Source organism: Homo sapiens, chromosome 3 (assembly GCF_000001405.40).
Source record: "Homo sapiens chromosome 3, GRCh38.p14 Primary Assembly".
In the NCBI taxonomy this organism is placed as follows: domain Eukaryota; kingdom Metazoa; phylum Chordata; class Mammalia; order Primates; family Hominidae; genus Homo; species Homo sapiens.
The window spans coordinates 185398900-185422297 of NC_000003.12; the positions used below are offsets into that span (position 1 = coordinate 185398900).

Consider the following 23398-nt stretch of genomic DNA (forward strand, 5'->3'; position numbering starts at 1 on the left):
AGTCCTGTTGATTGTCATTACAGCTAAGAGGTAGCCAAGTGTCCTATTCAGAAGACTTAAAGGTTAAAGAAAGCAGTGAAACAATAAAGCTATATGTAGCTAATGGGAATATGGATTTGGGCTTTGATGCTAGTAGTTTTTTTTATGTTCACCATCGCATCCTTTAGCCATCAGTGATTTATTGAGCAAACCAAAGTGTGACTCTTGGAAGACAGAGGGTTTCGAAGAAAGGAACACTGTTGGGTTGAGGAAAGGATAGGAGGAGATTATTCATGTGTATATTAGTGTTAGTGAGGGGAGGAAAAAGAAACAAAGGAAAGTGACAAAATTACCCTTGAGAAAAAAATGCTGATCACCAAGCTGAGGATAAAATGGGTCCATAAAATTTGTAACTCTCCTGACCTGAATATAAAAATGATATGATGCCAGGTGCGGTGGCTCACGCCTGTAATCCCAGCACTTTGGGAGGCCGAGGCCCGCGGATCATGAGGTCAGGAGTTCCAGACCAGCCTGGCCAACATGGTGAAACTCCGTCTCTACTAAAGATACAAAAAAAATTTTAGCCGGGCGTGGTGGCACGTGCCTGTAATCCCAGCTACTCGGGAGGCTGAGGTAGGAGAATCTCTTGAACCCAGGAGGCAAAGGTTGCAGTGAGCGGAGATCACACCATTGCACTCCAGCCTGGGCATAGGGTGAGACTCCGTCAGAAAGAAAGAGAGAGAAAGGCGGGGGGGGGGGGGGAGGGAGGGAGGAAAAAAGGAGGGAAGGAAGGAAGGAAGGAAGGAAGGAAGGAAGGAAGGAAGGAAGCTTTTCCTTGTATTCATCTCTCTAACAATATTTGTAGTTCTTTGCCCCAGTTACAGTTTAGCTAGTTCCTTATTTCCCTCCCTGCCTGATGGCGTATAGGAAAGGATAAACCCTGGCTCGTTACCTCCTCCCTGCAGCTCCTCCGCCCTGCACCCCCTCTGCTGGAGGTCCTGCCTCAATTAGTGGTAGCATTGAATCCTCCACACCAGAAAACCCTCTGTCACCATCACATCCAGCCAGTCACTCTATCCTGTTAATTCTGTCTCCAAAGTGTTGCTCAGATTCTTTCCATTCTCCCTAGAGCTCTTTCCACACCCCATTCGCCCTCCCTCCATTTTCTACCCTGAAACAGAATCATCTTTCAAATCGAATCATGTCACCTCCCTTCACCTCTCCATAGTTCTCTGTCCACAGGAGAAAAGAAAAAAATCCTCGAATCCACCTTTCCAGCCCTATTTTCGACATCTCTCATCACCTCTCACCAGCCCTGCTGATGTTTGTGCGTCTCCCCAAACAACCACGTGATTTCCTTCCCGCCTCCCTGCGTCTGCGCACCCTGCCCCTCTGGATGATATTCTCCATACCCCTTCCCTGGTCATCCTGGATGGGGATTTTTCCCTTCTTTGTACTTCAATAATTTGTACCCATCTCCCTTAGAAAGCTTCTCACATTACATGGTAACTATTTATTCATCCATTTTTCCTCTAATAGACTCCTCTAGAGCAGGGGTCCACTGTTTTGTTCATCTTCGCATCATCGTTATTGCTTAACACAGATGATTAACATAGATGATTAACATAGCATTTGTTGAGTCAGTGAGCAGAATAGCAAATATCTAAGTGACCACTTTCCTCACAGAAATGGGAGTTTTTAGGTGTAGCCTTGTGATTTCAGTAGCAAATCGGATGGGTGCTTTTCTCACAGGGCTGTGGTGAGAACTGATGTGAGGACGTCTATAAAAGTCCTTGAATATTTTCAAAGACACGAAAGATCTAAATTTTAAGTATTTAAGCAGCATGCAAGAAAAAAACAGTTGTTTTAGCACTTCTAATTATATTATCTTTCTAAGAATGATCTCAAGTGCTTATAAGGCTGCTAGGTGTTTTTTTTTTTTTGACTTGTAATTTTTGATTGTTTCAATAAACTTGATTTTCTGCACTGTTTCTCTTCTTATTAGGATAATTCTGGGTGTTTGTTTGTTTTTTTTTTTTTTTTTGTCTTCTTTTGATCTGCTAATACTGTCTTTAACATTGTTATATTTGGGAAATAATCCAAAGCAGCTAAGCTTACCTTGCTGCAAGAGGCAGAAGAGAATCATGGGCCACTAGGGCACCTTGTTTGGGGGCTCTGCAGGTTTATACAAGCTCATGCGTGCAGGTAGTGCTGCCTCTTGCCAGGTGAACACATCATCAGCAGTTTTCATTTGATGGTAAATAATATCACCATTTTCTTTTCAAGTGATATTTGCAAGTTAACAAACTATGGATGAAGCAGCCCTAAGCCTATTACTTGTTTTCTCTCATTTGAGGACTTTATTTGCCCAGGGCTCTTTGAATCCTAAATTACCCTCTAATTGCCAAAATGTAAAGGGGGAGCATTTTCCCTATAATTTCCTGAATTGATGAGTTCGTGTGGGAGCAGGTGAGTGAGAGTTGCTTTTGAAAATCTGACAGCACTGTATCCTGCTGCTGGGACAGGTCCCCTCCCTGTCTGGGCTCAGGGCTGCCCTTGTCTTCAGCCCCTTCTATGGATGGCTGCACTGATAGATGGAATCTCCTCGGGGAGCTTCATGGATCAGCCCTCTGTCCATTACCATGTAGCAGGATTATAATTTATAGCCCCAGATGGTGACTCCCTACCCCACCACTCCCTATTTACTTCAGTAAAGCGGCAGAGGCATTAACTATTAAATTGCTTCCCTCTTTTTAAAATAATTGATGTCATTTGCAAAGGGCTTTATATAAAAATACACGTACTTATTAAAACATTTTAGTAAGTAAAGTTTCATCAGTATATGAAGAACATTATGCATTGTAATAAAATATAAACAACCACATGGTCAGGCTTATTTTTCTTGGCATACTTCCATGTGGAAATGAGGTTTTGAGGCACGATTTCTGGTGAGATTCCTGGATTTTCATAGGAGAGTGTCAGCTCTTTCTTTTTGGTAGATTATTAAAGCTTATGGAGCGACCTCTTACCTGGAAACCCGGATTATTTGCATCCCAGGGTCCTACCAGAAAATATAACCTATAATTTTTAGTTACTCAATATTCTTGAAAGCTTGAGTGTGATAAATGATGCTCAAGGAAGAGTTCCCGAAGGAGATGCAATCCATCCCCTTCTGGATTAAATCAGATTTTCAAGAATTATTTACTTGGACTCTCCCTACTATAAGTGTTGCTTTTCTGGCATTTGGGGAATCTCACCTTGGGTGGACAGGTGCTCTTAAAAACGGTCCTAGGAAAGACGCCACTGTATTTGCTGGGAAGCTATTGTTGAGGCTACTTTATCCTCATTCTGGGTATATCAATGAAAGAAAAGCCTCTCGGGCCTTAGCACATACAAATTATTATTCATGGTAGTAGTATCACAATTTATTTATTTATTTATTGTCAGGGTTTTTTTTCTACAAATTATTTTTATCTACTGGTTTTTGCTTTGGGTGGTTTTTTAAAACATTTTCTTTGTGTTGTTTCTTCACCTCTTTACCTATTACCATGTACATCTTTGTCTGGAGTCTGTGTCCTTTCTTCTAGTGTGTACTTTTAAAATTTAAGTCTGTTTAAGAAGTCAAGCTTATTATATCCAGTCTCATTATAAAATCATAATGTTCTCGCCTTTGAATTTTAGTATTTATTGTCTGTGCTGTTGAATTCTTAAGATCTCTAACATCTCCACGGTGTGAACCATGGACAGCATTTATTAGGACGTAGAGGCCAGATGATGCCTGGAAATCTTACTGTGTAATTTAATCCTGGGCGCTGTGTTGTTTGGCTTCATTGGACTCTGAGTGTGCATATATAATTATGTGCGCATGTGTAAAAAACCCAGCCCTGATAGGAAAGAGAGGGAGGAACATCATTAGCAGAGATTAGATTTGTCTCTCCAGCTGGGCAATGTGCCTCTGAATTCCAAGGGCTTTCCCCAGTGTAAATTATTAGACTGACTCAGCTGCTGTTCAATTCCCCCCTGGCTGAACTGCTTTTGCTAATACTGTTAAGCTGTGGCCCAGGAGACAAAACGTCCTGAGGTACTAGATATATCTGACGCATGCAAAAGGCAAAACCTCCCTATTTCTCATATTTAGAAGATACTGGTATATAGTCTTCCCAAATCAAAAAATAAAAGGCAAAATGGAGATAAGAAAAACCGTGCCAAACCTCAGCTATACATAGAGTGCTTTGGAAATTGTTAGTAGACTGAAATAATTTCTATCTAGCTAAAGTAGATAGGCGTAATCTAATCAAAAGAGTTTAATTCAGATCAGTTGAGAGTATCTGACTTTAGATCTGCTGCTGTTCGGAAATTGCTGAAGTCTAAACAAATTAACCCCACTCTGAACCAACATACATCTCCTTGATTGATTCAGGGCCACAGAGTGGTCTTTTCTGAATTTCTTCAGAGGTGATAATACACTAACATTTATGAAAACTTGAACTTTTTAAATATAGCATGAAGCATAAGGCACAACATAATGTACATACTTATTAATTGGTTGAATAGAATTTATGGCTATAGTAAATGCTCTGTTTTAGTTTTTTTCCATTCACAATTAGGACTATGTGTATGTTGTACTAATGTAATTCAAAAAGATATGGTGAGGTGATGGATATGCTAATTAACTTGATTGTGGTAATCATCACAATGTACATATATCTCAAAACATCACACTGTACAATTTTTGTCAATTTATTTTTTACTGTAAATATAATTTTTATTTGTCAGTTATACCTCAGTAAAGCTGGAAAACAAAAACAAGAAGACATGATATCTTTCCTCTATGGTTTTATTACCGAAAATGGCCAACTTATATATACAGATAAACCTAATGGCTGGTTTATCCATCACAGGTCAGGAGAATAAATGAAATGCATAGATAATATAGAAGCTGTAATCAGGTAATTATTTATATCTTTCTTTAAAAAGTCACAGTTTTGTTATCAACTCTATTAACAAGTAGCAAAATTATCTGACCTAAGGTTTGCTTTTTTCCCCCTCCTTCCTTTCCTTTTACTTTGGAGAAGGTGCTGAAGAATAGGACTAAAATATAAAGAACAAGGACATCAGATAACAATGGGATCATTTAATGATCAATTTTTAGGACTGTAAAATGCCCAGCACAGTGCCTAGGCACTCAGCAAGTGATACCTGCCACTACCACTGCCATTAACATTATCTGCAGCAGTAGCAGCCATACTTACACTCTGCATAAACAGTAGCCTGGATAGTGCGTGAGTGTAAGATTAAATACTGGAAATAGATAAGAACTTATTACCTTACCTGTGATTAGTGAAGACTTTATAAAGAGGGGAAATTTTAAACACAAAAGATCAAGGAAACAAAACCTGTTTTCAGTAAGCAGAAAATAGCATTGTAAGAACAGATGAAGGTGTCAGCATTTCTCTAAGAGGAACTCTTTTGTGGTCCCCACTGCCAGTGAAGGCAGGGAGGAAAGCACAGTGATGGAGATGAGATCAATTCTGGGGGCAAATTGATGGCAAAGTTTACACTTGAGCGTGAGAGCTGGTTTACATACGTCAGGCTATGGAAACGGAATGGATTGTCCTTAAAAGTTGGGGTTGGCAATCAGACCAGCTTCATGGGTATGTAACCTATGCAGTTGCACAGGGACCCACGCTTGGTTTAATTTTTTAAAAATTTTTTCAAGATAGAATCTTGCTCTGTCACCTAGGCTGGAGTGTAGTAGCTTAATATTGGCTCTCTGCAACCTCAGCCTTCTGGGTTCAAGTGATTCTCCTGCCTCAACCTCCCAAATAGGTGGGATTACAGGTGCCCGCCACCACGCCCGGCTAATTTTTGTATTTTTAGTACAGATGGGGTTTCACCATGTTGGCCAGGCTGGTCTCAAACTCCTGACCTCAGGTGATCCGCCCGCCTCGCCTCGGCCTCCCAAAGTGTTGGGATTACAGGCATGAGCCACCGCGCGCAGCCCTATGCTTGGTTTAATACTCTGTTATCTCCATCTTGAAATTCTTAATAATTCTTAAACAAGGGGTCTTTCATTTTTTAGTTTGTACTGGCCCTGCAAATTTTGTAGCCCATCCTACTGGCAATGTATAAAATTGTAAGTTCTTAGTTGATGTTCTCACTAGCAATGCATTTCAGTACATTGAATATTTCTTGTGTCATGCCTTTTTTTGCTCTAAGGCCAGCATGCTTATTTCTACCTGACTACTGTTAGATTTCTAGAAGTGGTTCTGAAGAATGTGTCCCTGCCAATGAATGACTTAAGAGAAACTCAGCCTCAATTTTATGCCATCAAACAATGTTATTTTGCTATTAAGGTATATATGCATTATTTAATGTAATCGCATAAATTCAGAAACTACACATTTGCACATTCCAATTACTGTGGTCTTGAACAAAAGCTTTCTGATCATTGCATAAGTAATGAGTAATGTTTTCTATGAGGCCAAATTCTTTTGATCAAAGAAAAGAGACTCGTTAGCCCAGCATTCAAAACCTTTTATGATGTGGCACCACCCTATAGTTACAGCAGTGCTGATCACTGTTCTGTATGCACCTTATGTTCCAGCTCTTCCAGACTGTTTGCTATTCTTGGAAAATGCTATTTATTTTCTTGCCCTCCATTCTTTTCTTTGCGCAGTTCTTTTGGCCAGAATATATGTCTTCTTCCAGACAGCAGCCTCATCTCTCTCCATCCTTCACTCGTTCTTCACTGGTGTAACTCTGATTCTTTCTTCAAGGCCTCACTTTCTTGCTCAAATGTCTCTTTTTCTGTGAAGTTTTCTCTGGTAACTCAATCATAGTTGCTGCTTCCCTTGCTGTGCTTATACTGTGCTTGAAGGCTAAAGTCTGCCTTACATTGTACTTGCTTACTTGCTTATCTGACACACTAGTTTGTATGCTCCTTGAGGGTAGGACTATCTGACCGGGTCTATTCCATCATCCATGGCATCATAACGTGATGTCTGGCACATGCTCAATACATGTTTACTGAGTGAGGGAACTGGAAAAGCACTGAGTGTTAATTCTCTAAAGTGAAACAGCTAGTTGACGTCAGTTGATCTTGTTAGAAATAGTTTTGACTTTTAGAAGCATTTTTGTAAGAGAGAAATAATAAAAGCAGGGCTGTCAGTGGGAATGAGGCCCCCTAGAATTATACAATGTCACGACCCTGGGTGAAAGAGTAGTAAGAGTTCAATATCAGAAGAGTTTAAAAGGATTGGAAGGTCCCAGAGTAGCCAGGAAAAATTACCTAAAACAGTTTGAAGTCAGAAAAACAGGAAGCCCAGGGTGCCACTTGACTCTTAATTTAGCCCTTCCTAGCCGGCAATTTAGTTCCCAGCCATTCTTTTTGTAGCACCTTCCTTAATTAAATTGTACTGCCATGTCAAGAAAAGCCTTGAAATAAAGCCAGTAACATGGAAGGCATATTTAGAAGTATGCTAAGTGCATTTTTATGCTAACACTTTAACTCTCAAACTAAATTCTAGCTATTGTGCAATTTAAGTCTTCTCTCTTGATTCTTTTGTAAGAAAGAAAGAGGGAATAAATCAGAATCTGAATCTGAATCTACTGGGATTAAAAAATAATCAGACTATTCTCTGAGCTTGTCTGTAACCACAGCCAAGCATGCCTTCTAATTTTGTCAAATGGGATTAGACATATGTAGGCTAAGGGAAAAAGCCACTAATCCCAAAGCCTAGATGGTACAAAGTATTGTAGATGGCTTAATTTCTAAGATTTTGGTACTATTCTAGCCCTATTGTCATTTCAGTTATTATGTGAAGAAGGTCATTTAACAGACTATATGTAAGGATTTTGTGATTTTTCCCATAGGTATTTAATAATGACTTATTTTCATATTTTAAATTTTGGTGCTCAATTCATTTTCGTCTTCTGAGATTGAATGGATGCCCTATTGCAATAACTATTCTCACTAATGAACCGGCTTGTTTTCATGCTAGGCAAGTAAAAAGGGGATCTGTGGAAAAAAGCCTTGAAATGAAAGCCAGAAATCATAGAGTGGGGCTGGATCATTCCAGAAGAGATGTGGGGTATATTCTCACAACATTTTTATCCAGTAAAATAAAGATTAAAATTTTATATTAAAAGCATGCCTAGAAAGAAAAGAAAATTACAAAAGAACAGTAGAAACTCTAAAGATTATATGGGAAGGACACTCTAAGTTGATTTGCCTCAGTAAATGACGGAAATTGTACATGAGCTGATTATCTATTTGTCTGTGAACCTTGGATATAAATAATGTTTCTTTTTTAAACCATTTTTTGCCACCACCAGACCCTAGATCTTGAGCCTTAACCCACCTCCACTTTCTGGAGTGGGAATCTCTAAGGTTGGCTTTCAGATTCTAAAGATATGTAATCGTGACTGTGCTAAACTCTTACCTCATTTTGCTGTCTAGACCTATGATTATTAATTTTCATTTGGAAACACTCAGGGGTACCTCTGTCTCAAATGGTGCTAAAGGATTCTAAATACAAAATTAACTCTATATACACAAAATAGAACGTTATAACTATAAAGCAGAGTGACTGCATTTTAACAAAGTTTGCCACACCATGCGCAATTAAATGGATTTTGTCAAAGACTTCTTAAGTGTCTTTGACAAAGTATCAGGAAAAGTATCAGTGTCCAGCAGCTTGTTGATGCCTTCTGGTGATTCTACTATTGCTCAGGACAGCGTGGGGACTTTAGCTTCAGAGTGCGTTTTGCCAATTTCAGCGGTGGAATTAAGGGGGAAGAAAGCTCAAGTGTGTTCCCTCTTCCCCACACCTTGCCCCTATTAATCAGTTCCCACACCTGGCCCCTATTATTTGGTTTCTGTCCTTATAGTGTTGTCTTTTCTGTAAATGGATTTCATATAAATGGAATTATACAATATGTAGCCTTTTGTCTTTGCTCATTTTAGATTTCCTTGTAGAATTTTGAGAATTTTTTTTTTTTTTTTTTTTTTTTTGAGTGTGGGTCTTGCTTTGTCACCAAGGCTGGAGTGAGGGGGCATGGTCATAGCTCACTGTAGCCTTGAACTCCTGCGCTCAAGTGATCCTCCCACCTCGGCCTCCCAAAATACTGGGATTACAGGTGTGAGCCACTTTTTTTTTCTGCCTTACTTTTATCTTAGTAGCGTCTGGCATGGGCAGAGCAGAGATAAAATGTTTATGTTCAACCTATCACATTTAACTAGAAATCTTGTTTAATAGTTTTACAGGAAAAAAATCAGAAAGTGGGAGTATAGAGTGAAATCTTCCAATTTTGCAGTTGAAATCAAACTTATTTCATGAGAGAAACCATTTGAAGCTTTCAGGGTCTTATTTATGGTAAGCTCTCAATAAAATGCCAATTCGGCCAGGTGCGGTGGCTCACACCTGTAATCCCAGCCTGTAATCCCCTTGGGAGGCTGAGGCGGGTGGATCTCTTGAGGTCAGGAGTTTGAGACCAGCCTGGCCAACATGGTGAAATGCCATCTCCTCTAAAAGTACAAAAATTAGCCGGGCATGGTGGCGCATGCCTGTGATCCCAGCTACTCAGGAGGCTGAGGCAGAAGAATCACTTGAACTCTGATGGTATAGGTTGCAGTGAGCCGAAATCATGCCACTGCACTCCAGCCTGGAAAACAGAGTGAGACTCCATCTTAAAAAAAAAAAAGAAGCCGATTAGTTTGATTTGCATCTACAACAACCCCAAAAGGGAGGTTTAGTATATCCTGTATACAAGTGAGGCAACTAGAATTCAGAATATTTACATAACTGTCAAAGACTTCACAGCAGATAAGTGGCTAGGAATCAAACAAGGTATTTCTGATTTGAAAACCTGCACTCTTTGCAATTACAGCACATCATAAGCATTATGTAATAAACATGGGACAACAACTATTTATAATATACCAGGCTTCATTACGATCTGATTTATTACAGTCCTAGGGCAACCTTGCACTAATGGGAGGTTAGTCATGAAATTTGCTCTGTGTGCTGTTTTTGGCCAACTCACTACCACATTGGGCATCATCAGAAGGCGTCTACCAATGAAATGTATAAATAAATAAATATATATGTATATAAAAAGGTGGACTAGAGTTGGACATAGATCAAACAAGGGCAACTGAGATGATTCAAGGAGCGTGTGTCCTGCCTTAGAATTGCAGACTGGAGGCCAGGCCTGGTGGCTCATGCCTGTCATCCCAGCACTTTGGGAGGCCAAAGCAGGCAGATCACTTGAGGTCAGGAGTTCAAGAGCAGCCTGGCCAATATGGTGAAACCCCGTCTCTACCAAAAATACAAAAATTAGCCAGGCGTGGTGGTGTGTGCCTGTAGTCCCAGCTACTTGGGAGTCTGAGGCAGAAGAATTGTTTGAACCCAGGAGGCGGAGGTCACAGTGAACTGAGGTCACACCACTGCACTCCAGCCTGGGCTACAGAGCGAGACCCTGTCTCTAATTAATTAATTTAAAATAAGCTTAATATCTCTGATTATCAGGGAAGTACAAATCAAAACCACAATGAGATATCATCTCACCCATTAAAATGACTATTATCAAAAAGATAAAAACATAAACGCTGGCAAGGATGCATAGAAAATGGAACTGTTATGCACTGTTGGTAGGAATGTAAACTAGTACAGCACTATGGAGAACAGTATGAGCGTTCCTCAAAAAAACACACATAGAACTGCCATATGGTCCAGCAACCCCACTACTGAGTATTTACCCAAAGGAAAATGAACCAGTATACTGAAGAGATATCTGCACCCCTATGTTTATTGCAGGACTATTCATGATAGCCAAGGTATGAATCAACCCATGTCCGACAATAGAAGAATGGATAAAGAAAATGTGGTATATGTACACAATTGAATACTATTCAGCCATAAAAAAAGAATTAAATCCTGTTATTTGCAGCAACATGGATGAGCCTAGAGCAGCAGTCCCCAACCTTCTTGGCACCATGGACCAGTTTCGTAGTAGACAATTTTTCCACAGACTAGGGATGTGGTGGGTGGTGGGTGGGAATGGTTTGAGGATGAAACTGTCCCACCTCAGATCATCAGGCATTAGTTAGAGTCTCATAAGGCGCGCACAACCTTATGAGATCCCTCGAATGTGCAGTTCACAATAGGGTTTGCCCTCCTGTGAGAATCTAACGCTGCTGCTGACCTGATGGGAGGCAGAGCTCAGGCAGTAATACTCGCTCGCCTGCTGCTCACCTCCTGCTGTGCAGCCTGGTTCTTAACAAGCCACAAACCAGTACCAGTCTGCGGTCTGGGAGCTGGGGATCCCTGGCCTAGAGGACATTATGTTAAGTGAAACAAGCCAGTAACAGAAAGTTAAACACCACATGTTCTCATTCATACGCAGAAGCTAAGAAAGTTAAACTCATAGGAGTAAAGAGCAGAACAGAGGATTCTAGAGGCTGGGGAGGATAGACAGGGAGGGATTTGTTAAAGGATACAAAATTATAGCTAGATAGGAGGAATAAATTCTACAGCTATAGCGTCCCACAGCACTGTAGGATGACTATCGTTAACAATAATATATATTCCCAAATAGCTAGAAAAGAGAATATTTTAATGTTCCCAACACAAAAAAAGATAAATGTTCAAGATGATGTATATGCTAATTACCCCAATCTGCTCACTATGTATTGTATGTATTGAAACATCACTATGTATCCCATAACAATGTACAATTATTATGTGTCAATTTTTAAAAATTAAAAAATAGGCCAGGTGTGGTGGCTCATGCCTGTAATCCCAACACTTTGGGAGGCCGAGGTGGGTGGATCACCTGAGGTCAGCAGTTCAAAACCAGCCTGGCCAACATGGAGAAACCCCGTCTCTACTGAAAATACAAAAATTAGCCAGGCATTGTGGCGGGCGCCTGTAATCCCAGATACTTAGGAGGCTGAGGCAGGAGAATCGCTTGAACTCAGGAGGCAGAGGTTGCAGTGAACTAAGATCACACCGCTGCACTCCAGCCTGGGTGACAGAGCAAGACTCTGTCTAAAAAAAAAAAAAAAAGGTTCAGCATATGAATAAGATTCTTTCATGGAATATTAAGAGAAGTAAGTGATGTTTATGTTATACCCATTCCTTTTGTAAACAGATGTCACAAAAAACAATGACTCCCCCTTCAAAGCTATCATCGGAAGCAAAGTGTTAGGTAAAAGGGCCCTTGGTTTTTCCTGGCTTCTTCAAGTAGAGTTGTCTTTTCTTGTCCTTACTTTATGAGATGTCCTAACTGTAGATTATACCATGATTCAAGAACAGCTAGACATGCATACACATGAATTTGCAATCAGTTATTTAGAACACAGAAAAAAAAATCAGAAAATGAAGGGAAAAACATTTGCACATAGCCAGAATGTACGTCACAAAACCCATGTACAAAACCTCACAGTTTACTCATATGAAGAGTCATCAAGCCTTTGTACAAAATCTTATTACTGTTATTTTGCACACAGTTCTAACATGTTTGGGCACATGGTTTCCAAGCCCATGACAAATACTGACTTCTCAGGTAGATTTGCTGGACATACCACCTACTCAGGGAAATTTATTGAGAGCTATGAAATTGACATTTAATTAAACAACTAATACCAGACATTGAAACAACAGAAAATTCAAATTAAGCAAACAAGTACAATAATAAAACAATCATTAGCATTTCAGAAGGATTCTTCATTTTGCAAGTAGATTTATCAGTGATACTTCAAATAGTAATTTCTATTAGTGATTTTTAAATGTTATTTTAAAAATGTGATTTATATGCAACTTTTTAGGAGCACTTAATGAAACCATGTGCACTTGTAATGAATTCAAATTATGATTCCTAAAGGGAGGCAGTTATGTCTTTTTTTTTTTTTTTTTTTTTGAGACAGAATCTCATTCTGTTGCCCAGGCTGGAATGCGGTGGCATGATCTCAGCTCACTGCAGCTTCCACCTCCCAGGTTCAAGTGATTCTCCTGCCTCAGCCTCCCGAGTAGCTGGGACTACAGGTGTGTACAACACGCCCAACTAATTTTTGTATTTTTAGTAGATATGGGGTTTCACCACGTTGGCCAGGCTGGTCTCGAACTCTGGACCTCAGGTCATCCTCCCACCTCGGCCTCCCAAAGTGCTGGGACTACAGGTGTGAGCCACCATGCCCAGCCTAAATATGTCTTTAAATTCTACCTTTGTAATATTAACCTTTGTATTGAGGGACTACATATTGTTTTCTGTCACAAATAGTTTATTATTTTGCATTTATTTTTCTTTCCATTAGAACTGTCTTATATATTTATCATTTGTATTGAGAGACTACATATTGTTTTCTGTCACAAATAGTTTATTATTTTACATTTATTTTTCTTTCCATTAGAACTGTCTTATATATTTATCATTTTTTAGCACTTAGAATCAATAATTAATATTTATTGATGTTCTTCCTTGTCATCCTCATTTTGGACAGATGGGATTTATCTAGGATCCTTTAGCAGTCTGCAAATTTCAGCTATATATTGGGAGTAGAAATTGAAACTACCCTCAATGAATAATTAAACAATGGGTATGGATTACACTCTAGCACAGAGTCATTCCAAAACAGTGACATAAGACAAGTGAAAAATGGCCAATCTTTGACAATTTCAAATTTCTATTGTTGGTAAAGCTCAAAATGTTCTATCACACATTTTCTAGAGTATCATCTTGATTGAATCATTACTTTAAAAATTAAAGCTCAGGACTACTTCTGTGAGCAAAAACAACAGTAAGTCACAAGAAATGTAAAAGTCTAAAACAATAGGATCTCTCACTAATTTGGCTTTAGTTACTGCTCTATTAAAATTCGACATTGGATCCAGAGTCAGGAGTGCTTTGTTCATCCTGGAGCTTTTGTCCTGGTTATCTGTAATACAGTCTCCTCTGAGAAGTGACACATACTTCTGGTGATTTGGTAAAACTTCTGTTCCTATTCACCTTTTCCTCCATTAGCCCTCCCCTAGGTTTCTGCCTTTCACCTACACTAGTGCTATGATTAGGAGCTTCAAGGAATGATGGTAGCAGTAATCTAATTTCATTTTTTAGATTCTCCACAAATGAACCTACTTAGATATTGAAAATTATTCCTCTGGTTCCTTTTAGACACACAGCTATGATTCCTTGGACAGTCTTTTAAAAGATAAAATCCCCAATTCAGTTTGATCCTGATGAACCATCATTAGAATGAGCTATACTTAAATCATTCACAAATATTACTAAAACATGGTTGCAAACCTGTCATATTAAAGAAGGTAGTGGAGTACTGTGCAGTTAGCAAATCCCCATGTACGAAGGGAGCCACAATGTTGGTTAATCCTTACAACAGACCAATCTATTAATATGAATAAAGCGCATAGAGCAGCACTGTCCAATGGAACTTCCTGTAATGATGGAAATGTTCTTTTTCCCAGTCCTATATGGTTGCCACTAGCCACATGTGGCTAGTGAATACCTAAAATGGACTAGTACAGCTGAGGAATGAAATCTTTATTTTATTTAATTTTAATTAAAGTTAAATGACTACGTATAACTAGAAGCTATAATATTGGATGATGCAAGTATAGAGTTTTAATGTTAAAAACAGAATGGGGCTGGGCGCGGTGGTTCACACCTGTAATCCCAGCAATTTGGGAGGCCGAGGTGGGTGGATCAACTGAGGCCAGGAGTTCAAGACCAGCCTGGCCAACATGGTGAGACCCTACTTCTACAAGAAATGCAAAAATTAGCTGGGTGTGGCAGCACGCACCTGTAGTCCCAGCTACTCGGGAGGCTGAGGCAGGAGAATCATTTGAACCCGGGAGGCAGATGTTGCAGTGAGCTGAGATTGTGCCACTGCACTCCAGCCTGGGCGACAGAGCGAGATTCCACCTCAAAAAACAAAAAACAAAACAAACAAAAACCAGAATGGAGTAAACCCTACAGAAAGTGAGCATATTTTAGAATTCTCCAATTATCTTTAGTTATTGCTAAGAATTCATACCTTTCATCCAAGTTTGGAACCTAAGTTCAAGGTAAAATATGAGCCTATTCCATATTTTTCTGACCTAGACCTTTTTTAGTTAAACAGAAGCCCATTATAATATCGACAATACAGTGTTGTGGTTAAGGGCTCAGGCTCTGGTGCTGGAGTGGAACTGGGTTCAATTCCTGTCTTCGCCACTTAGTAGCTGTGAGTCATTTAGCCTATCTGTGCCCCAATTTTTCACCAATTATTGTCAAGGGGTAATAATAATACCTTTCCCAAAGGGTTGATGTGAGGATTAGATAAGTTAATATGGGAAACGTGTTTAGAGCGGTTTCACATAATCTCAATAAATGTTGTTAATACGTTATCACATTGCTATGTGTGAGTGTAAAGTCTTCTCATCCAAAAAAATTGAATTCCACCATATTATATCAGGTTCTGCACTAGGTGCTGAGGCTAGACGGTGGGAAAAGAAAAAGGACAAGGTACAGAGATAAACAATGTTTGATTCTACTCTTACAAACTTATGAGACTTAGTTGTTTATCTTGAAAAATAGAAGGCATGGCCCAGTCACTGCTCCCTCCGAACTTGAACCATCTATGATTCTACCATTCTTAAGAAAGGCCTGAAAAAGCAACGCAAGGATAGCAGAAGGACTTTGGATGGCCTCTTGCCTACCAAGTATATCTAGGACTTGCCCAGGAACAGGGTGTAGAATCTGCAGCTTTGTGAGAACTTTCATATATGTCATTGGAAGTCGAAGTCTGTTACTGATGCTCTTCAACAGCCCTAAATATTAAACTGGCAATGAATTATTTGATTTTAATGTATAGTATAAAATAAGTATAGAATGTATTATATATTAATATCTCTAGTTATATTTTACTGTCCAACTAAACAATCCAAATACTGACAATGAATTTAATGAGAAAAGAAAATTTCCATAATATAATTTCATTCAGAAAGATTTTTTGGCCAGGCGTGGTGGCTCATGCCTGTAATCCTAGCACTTTGGGAGGATGAGGTGGGAGTATTGCTTGAGGCCAGGAGTCCAAGACCAGCCTGGGCAATATAGTGAGATCCTGTCACTACTCTTAAAACACTTTTTTAAAAGACTTTTCCTCCTTTCTCACTTGCTTAGAGTCATGAAGCTCCTGAGAGCAGAGCCAGTCTATTCTTACTAAGCAGCACACTATCCATCACTTCCCAAGTGGCATATATTTTTTATTTTTATTTTTATTTTTATTTTTTTGTGAGACAGGGTCTCACTCTGTCTTCCAGGCTGGAGTGCAGTGGCGCGATCATGGCTCACTGCAACCTCTGCCTCCCGGCTTCAAGAGGTTCTCATGCCTCAGCCTCCTGAGTAGCTGGGACCACAGGCATGTGCCACCATGCCTAGCTAATTTTTGTTGTGTATTTTTAATAGAGATGGGGTTTTCTCATGTTGCCCAGGCTGGTCTTGAACTCCTGGGCTCAAGTGATCTACCTGCTTCAGCCTCCCAAAGTGCTGGGATTACAGGTATGAGCCACCATGCCCTGCCCTGGTCTAATTATTCTTATGTTTAAAGCATAAGCAATGTTTTCCTAGAGATATTTTCTTGAATCAATGAAATCATCTCCTAATTTAACATCACAGTATTAAAACCAGAAGGGTTAATTTCTTTTTTTTTTTTTTTTTTTTTTTGAGACAGAGTTTTACGCTTATTGCCCAGGCTGGAGTACAATGGTGCCGTCTTGTCTCACTGCAACCTTTGCCTCCCGGGCTCAAGAGATTCTCCTGCCTCAGCCTCCCAAGTAGCTGGGATTACAGGCATGTGCCACCACACCCAGCTGATTTTGTATTTTTAGTAGAGACGAGGTTTCTCCATGTTGGTCAGGCTGGTCTCAAACTCCCAACCTCAGGTGACCTGCCTGCCTCGACCTCCCAAAGTGCCGGGATTGCAGGTGTGAGCCACTGCTCCCGGCCAATTTTTTTCTCCCAAATACTACAACTACGTAGTATTAATATTCTCCCAAATATTATAGCCATGTAGAACCTTCCTTTTTATGTGTGCAATTTAATTAAAACCTAGAATGTAAAAATAACTGCTGTAATTAAAGACAAAGGAAATGAAATATGAAAAAGAAGTTGCATACATTTGGGATTTTTGTCTCCTATTTTCCATCTTGCTTTCACCCTTTTGATCTGGTATCTCACTGTTTATTGATTCTTTGTGCTTTCATTTATAATACCAAATGAATGTTACAAGCTCAGCTTGCCTCAGTTTCTATATATATCAACCCGTTCCCCTCTTCTTAGCTCTCTTTTCTCATCTTATCACTTTCCTAAGGAAAAGCTTACTTGTCTTTTCCTTGCCCTTCTTTTTATTCCCCTTGATTTCACATATATATTGAGCATATTGACATATATCTGTTTATTCTAATTTTTCTAGTTAAAGATTTGCATAGCTAACAAATATTGAGGGTAAATGTGTTTTTTTATATATACTATCTCGTATAATCATCTACTCTATGAGGTGGATTCTGTTGTTACTACTAATTATAGATGACAAAATTGAGGCTTAGAGAGAGTTATGGCGAGGTTAGTGATTACAATTTGAATCCAGGTCTATCTTCCTCTAGTGCCTTCTCTCTTAAGCCCTTACAATATTGCTCTCAATATGATGAAGTACATCTGAATACAGACTGGACAAGAAATAACTTTAAAGTGTATATAATAGCACTATTTTTTTGAGACGGCCTTGCTATGTTGTTCAGACTGGAGTACAGTGGCGCAATCATGGCTCACTGCAGCTTAGACCCTCTGGGCTCAAGTGATCCTCAGCCTAGTAAGTAGTTGGGCCTACAGGCACATGCCACCATGCCCAGCTATTTTTTTTTTTTTTTTGTAGTAACAGGGTCTCACTGTGTTGCCCAGGCTGGTCTTGAACTCCTGGGCTCAAGCAATCCTCCCACCTCAGCCTCCCAAAGTGCTGGGAGTACAGGCATGAGCCACCTTGCCCAGCTATAAACCAAATTCTTTAAAAATAATTTTATTTTTATTTTTTCTTTTAAATTTTGGGTTTAATAATAATTTTTAAACCATTTCAATTCTTGTTCTCCTAAACTATGTATCTTAGGAGAGTCCTAGAGTTCCAAAAAAGAGAGGAAATGGTTACAAAATAAAAGGAAAAGAAAAGAAGGAAAGAGACTAGCATTTAATGAATGCTTACTGTATACTTAGCATCTTGTCAGGGACCAACTTAAGTTCATAGTTCCACATATTCTGTAATCTTCCTTTTTAAAAAAATAGGGTATTTCTTTATCTTCTACTTTTCCATGAACAACTGTCTTGCTCATAGTTCCTGAAGATAATTATTTACCAAAGGTTGTTTTTGTAATCCTAAATGCAAGAGTTTTGATGCCTTCACATGTAATTCATCTGGACCTTAGAACTTGGAAATAATCAAAACACTGATATATGTTCTTTTCTTTTCTTTTCTTTTCTTTTTTTCCTCACTGCCTGTATAATCAGGTCTTTATTCAAAAGAAGCTGTCCAAAATGATTTGACCTTTATGGAATAATCAAATTTAAGAGTTTATGCAGCAGGCTTCTTTTCCTCTGTAGTAGGTTTCTTTTCTGCAGGCTTCTTTTCAGGGGCTGGTTTCTTGGTAGCTGCTGCCTTTTTTCCCACCAGAGGCTTCTTCTGCTTCTTAACACCAACAGCAGCCTTCTTTCCTTTCTTACCTACCACAGGCTTCTTGCCTGCAACCGCCGCCTTTTCATCTGATTTGGCTGGTAGTGCTGCTGCTGCAGCAGCTGCCTTATCCACCCGGAGCTTGTGATTCCTGGCCTGGCGAAGAATGGTGTTCCGGCGCATGGTCTTTGCATATGGGTTTAGCTTCAACATGATTCTCAAGTTTTTCAGTGGGTTCTTCTTTAGGACTCTGCGATGAATCTTCTTGCGTGGTGCTCAAAGGGCTCTTTGGATCTCTGGGCTTTTCAAGATTCTGCTAAGATCTGTATTAATCAACTTGTGCATGGGAAGATTGTAGTTACTCTTGAGGGAAGCGGCTTTACGCCAAGTGCCATACAATTCATCTAACTTCCGGAAAGCACTTTCAGTCCAAATGCAGAAACGTCCCACATGCCCACCAGGAGCAAGCTTCAAAATGTTCAGCTTGCTTACATTAAGCAGAGTAATTCCAGGGATGTTTCTGAAGGCCTTGATGATACCATTATCCTCATTATAGATGATGCACAGGCCCCTGCGCTGGATACGGCGACGGTTTCTCATTTTGCCTTTGCCAGCTCTCATTCGCTGAGAGGCATAGACCTTTTCGATATCATTCCAGGCTTTAAGTTTCTTAAGGAGCAAAACAGCTTCCTTGGTCTTCTTGTAGCCTTCAACTTTATCTTCAAATACCAAAGGAAGTTCAGGAACTTCCTCAATACGATGACCTTTAGACATGACCAGTGCTGGTAGGGCTGAGGCAGCCAGGGCAGAACAGATGGCATATCGTTTTTGGGTTGTGTTCACTCTACGATGCCAACGGCGCCAGGTTTTGGTTGGTGCAAACCTTCGGCCTCCACGACACATGTTTCCAAAAGCACCCTGGCCAGAGCGGTGAGTCCCACCACCTCGAACTCTGGGAATTCGAGCCATAGCTCTGCCAGTACCCCAAGACTCAGCACTGGTCTGATGACCTGCTAATTCACTGGCAGCGTAGGGCTGTCTGTTGTTTTTGCGCAAGTTGGTGTGAACAAAGTTCACAATATCTGGTCGAATAGGAGCCTTGAATACAGCAGGCTAAGTGACATTTTTGCCAGATGACTCCCCCTTTTCGGAGTACACCGATATCATTGGGCGAGCACACGCCATGGCGGAGAGAGGAGACAGCCACGCTCCTCTCAGCCCGGCTGCTGCCACAGGAAAAGCATGTTCTTGTCTTTTCATCTGTTTTGGGTTTCAGTTCTCTTAATCATGATCATTCTGCCTTTTCTAGAATCAAATGTGAATCTCATTAGTAGAAAAGGTAAAAACAAAATAGGAGTCATTAACTTTTGTTTGCTCATTGTCGTCTTTTTAAGTTCACTTTTATTTTCATTTTGAATTTATAATTCTTTTTTTTTTTTTTGAGACAGAGTCTCACTCTGTCACCCAGGCTGGAGTGCAGTGGCGTGATCTTGGCTCACTGCAACCTCTGCCTCCCGGGTTAAAGCAATTCTCCTGCCTCAGCCTCCTGAGTAGCTGGGACTACAGGTGTGCTAATTTTTGTATTTTTAGTAGAGCTGGGGTTTCACCATGTTGGCCAGGCTGGTCTCGAACTCCTGACCTCAGGGGATCCTTCCACCTTGGCCTCCCAAAATGTTGGGATTACAGGCGTGAGCCAGCACATCCGGCCTATAGTTCTTTTTATGCCTGTTTGCAAGCCTCAGCACACAGTGACAATTAGCTTTCCTGACAGTATCCTTAACATTTCACATCATTTTTCATATCTGAAAATATAGTGAAGTGGGCCCATTAATCTGTGCGTTTAAAGCAACAAGGATTTGTATTGAAAACCTCTGATTAAACAAATAATGCATGCTAATGGTAGAAATTTGGAAAAATATAGAAAACTTCAAAGAACAACAGTAATAACCACTGTTGACCTTTTAAACATAATTTCTTAAAATGCTTACTTAATTATACACATTTTAAATTTTTATGCCTATTAATATTTATATATTTAAAGGTACATATATGTCTGTATCTTATTTTTAAAACATTTAAAGTTACTGATTTTATCATTCATATGGCAGCTGGATTTAGGTCAGAAAATGTTGAATATTAATACTTAAAATACCATATATTATTTATTAAAGATTTATGGAGATAGCATTTATGATATGATTTATGGATAAATCATTCCTTTGGTCAAGATGTTTCACCTTTGACTTAAGGCATTTTTGAAGCCTCACAAGTTTCTATTTCTTGATAAATTTATAGACTACTACTCTGAAAATGAAGTATCTTTATTCATTTTAAAGCCTACAATAAACTTATTTTAACTGTAATCACAGTTGCATTTATAGGTACTGGTATTCAAAAGGTAATTTGTCACCATGGAGAATTTGCTTCTTTGTAATTTTTATTTTTTTGATGTCTCCAGCATACTTCAAGATTATTAAACATTCATAATCTTAACCGAAAATATAGGTACATGGTAAACATGGAATCAATATTTTTGAATGCATAATTGTTTCATGAAATATTATAAAGAAGATGAAAAGAGGTAGGTCAGTGGATTTTGTCGATTTGAGTTTTTATTGTTCCTTCAAATAGGCGTTTCAGGAGATGGTCCACAGTTAAGAGAGTAAGTAGGGATAAAGGCACGATTGTAGGCCATTCTTTTTACCTGATTTGAAGTCACATACTTCTAATCACACAACTCCATTCGAAGAAGCTAGCTAATGTTTTCAAAGTTCAAATTAAGATCTGGGTGACAGACCTCTATCCTGGAAAGATCATTTTATGTTATTACTATGCACAAGTAAAGTAATCTAAGTTTTAAAATGGGATTGATGCTCCTAGAAGCAGAAATTATTTTATGTTCTCAACTGCTATATGAATTTTAGAGAAATGACCAGAAGACTAAGATGGCAGTGTTGTATTCATTTTTAAAGATAGGCAAGAAGACGCCAAGTAAAGAGAAGATAGCTTAGAAAGAGCTCAGTGTCAATCAATAAATCTTGTAGCAATAATGCTTACTTTAATTTTTTATTCAATTTTAGTCACATCAAAAACTTTGTGGGGCTAAATTGTCCAAAATCTTTGATTTATTCATATTTATGATATAAAATTTAAAATCTGATCATTATAAAAATCCTCAATTAGTAACATGGGAAAAATTGTATTCTATGATAGAAATCCAAGAATTTAAGGGCCATTTGGCCACATTACCTCCTCCATTCCTCTTTCTCTCTACATTGCATCCTGGGATCTTGGCACAAAACCAAGGTAATTTCCAGAAATTGGCAGTGCCCTGCCAAATGCACAGCTGCTGCTGTCTCCAACTCTTGCCTACTAATTTTGCACAAACCACTTCCTCCTCTTGGGGCCAAGAAACTCAGAAGGTAGGGAAAGTGTTCCTCAAGGGCAGATACGGGAGCACTTCCTGCACCCTTTGCGGATCGGGACCTGTTGTAAGGGCGGCAGTAGCATCACCTCACCTACAGACCTTCCCGGAGTACTTTCTTTTTCTTTTTTCTTTTCTTTTCTTTTCTTTTTTTGTTTTGTTTTGTTTTGTTTGTTTGTTTTTGTTTTGTTTTCGAGGCGGAGTCTCCCTCTATTGCCCAGGCTGAAGTGCAGTGGCAGCATCTCGGTTCACTGCATTCTCCACCTCCTGCCTGGGTTCAAGCAATTCTCCTGCCTCAGCCTCCCGAGTAGCTGGAATTACAGGCGCCTGCCACCATGCCCAGCTAATTTTTTGTAGTTTAGTAGAGATGGGGTTTCACCATGTTGAGCAGGCTGATCTCGAACTCCTGACCTCAGGTGATCTGCCTGCCTCAGCCTCCCAAAGTGCTGGGATTACAGGCATGAGCCACCGCACCTGGCTCCCATAGTACTTTCTTTTGATAAGGGTGCCATTCCAAACTTGCCCTTTATCCCTCCAATGTTCCTTGTCTTTTTCCCTTTGACTCTCAACATTCAAAAATCTTGCCCCACTTCCTTTCTGTCTCCTTCTAATTTATACTAGTTTTGATTTCTTATGAATTGAAAGGACCAAACAATCAGTTCCCATGAGGGTACCTGAGCCAGATTTGCACAGGGAGAGAGGAACTGAGAGGGCAGAAGACAGCCAGAGATAGTGGAACCACCTGTGTTCCCGCAGTTTCCACCTAACAGTCTCTTCACTGTGCAGTGGCAGCGTGTGGGTGTGCATACAAACACAGGTAAAACTTAGGTATTTTTAGCTTCCTACACTCTTCTTAAATGTAGAGTCAGCTCTGATCATATTTGAATATAGCCATGGTGATGATTTTTCTTTCCCTTTGTTCTTGTACCTCTCTATTTCTCTGCCTTTGTTGGGACCCGTTGGACTAGATATTCTTGGTGAGCATGAGGGAAGCCTATTTGACTACACATCTTTATACACCCTTGAGGTTTACCTCACCTCTGCCTACTCTGAGAGCAGTCAGTGGGTAGCCTCCTGCTGGCCTGTGGATAGGCGCAGGGTCACCCCGCTAGGTAGGCACTAGTGTTTCCTTGGGAATAGTTTTAGTGCATCTAGAATAGCACTGGGACTTGCTATTGTTTTTGTCATCAGTGGCCATGATACCACGGCTATTTGTTTCTCTTCAAATAAACAAACAACCATGCTAGTGGAAGGAGCTGGGCTGAGGAAGGAGGACTCAT

At 39.7% G+C, this 23398-nt stretch overlaps 1 protein-coding gene and 1 pseudogene across 7 annotated transcripts in view; one reads left to right on the forward strand and one right to left on the reverse strand.

Annotated features, from left to right (window-relative positions):
• Positions 1–23398, forward strand: part of MAP3K13 (mitogen-activated protein kinase kinase kinase 13) — a 206134-nt gene that overhangs the window by 115939 nt on the left and 66797 nt on the right. The gene's annotated exons all lie outside the window — the stretch shown is intronic.
• RPL4P4 (ribosomal protein L4 pseudogene 4) lies at positions 18509–19944 on the reverse strand (annotated as a pseudogene).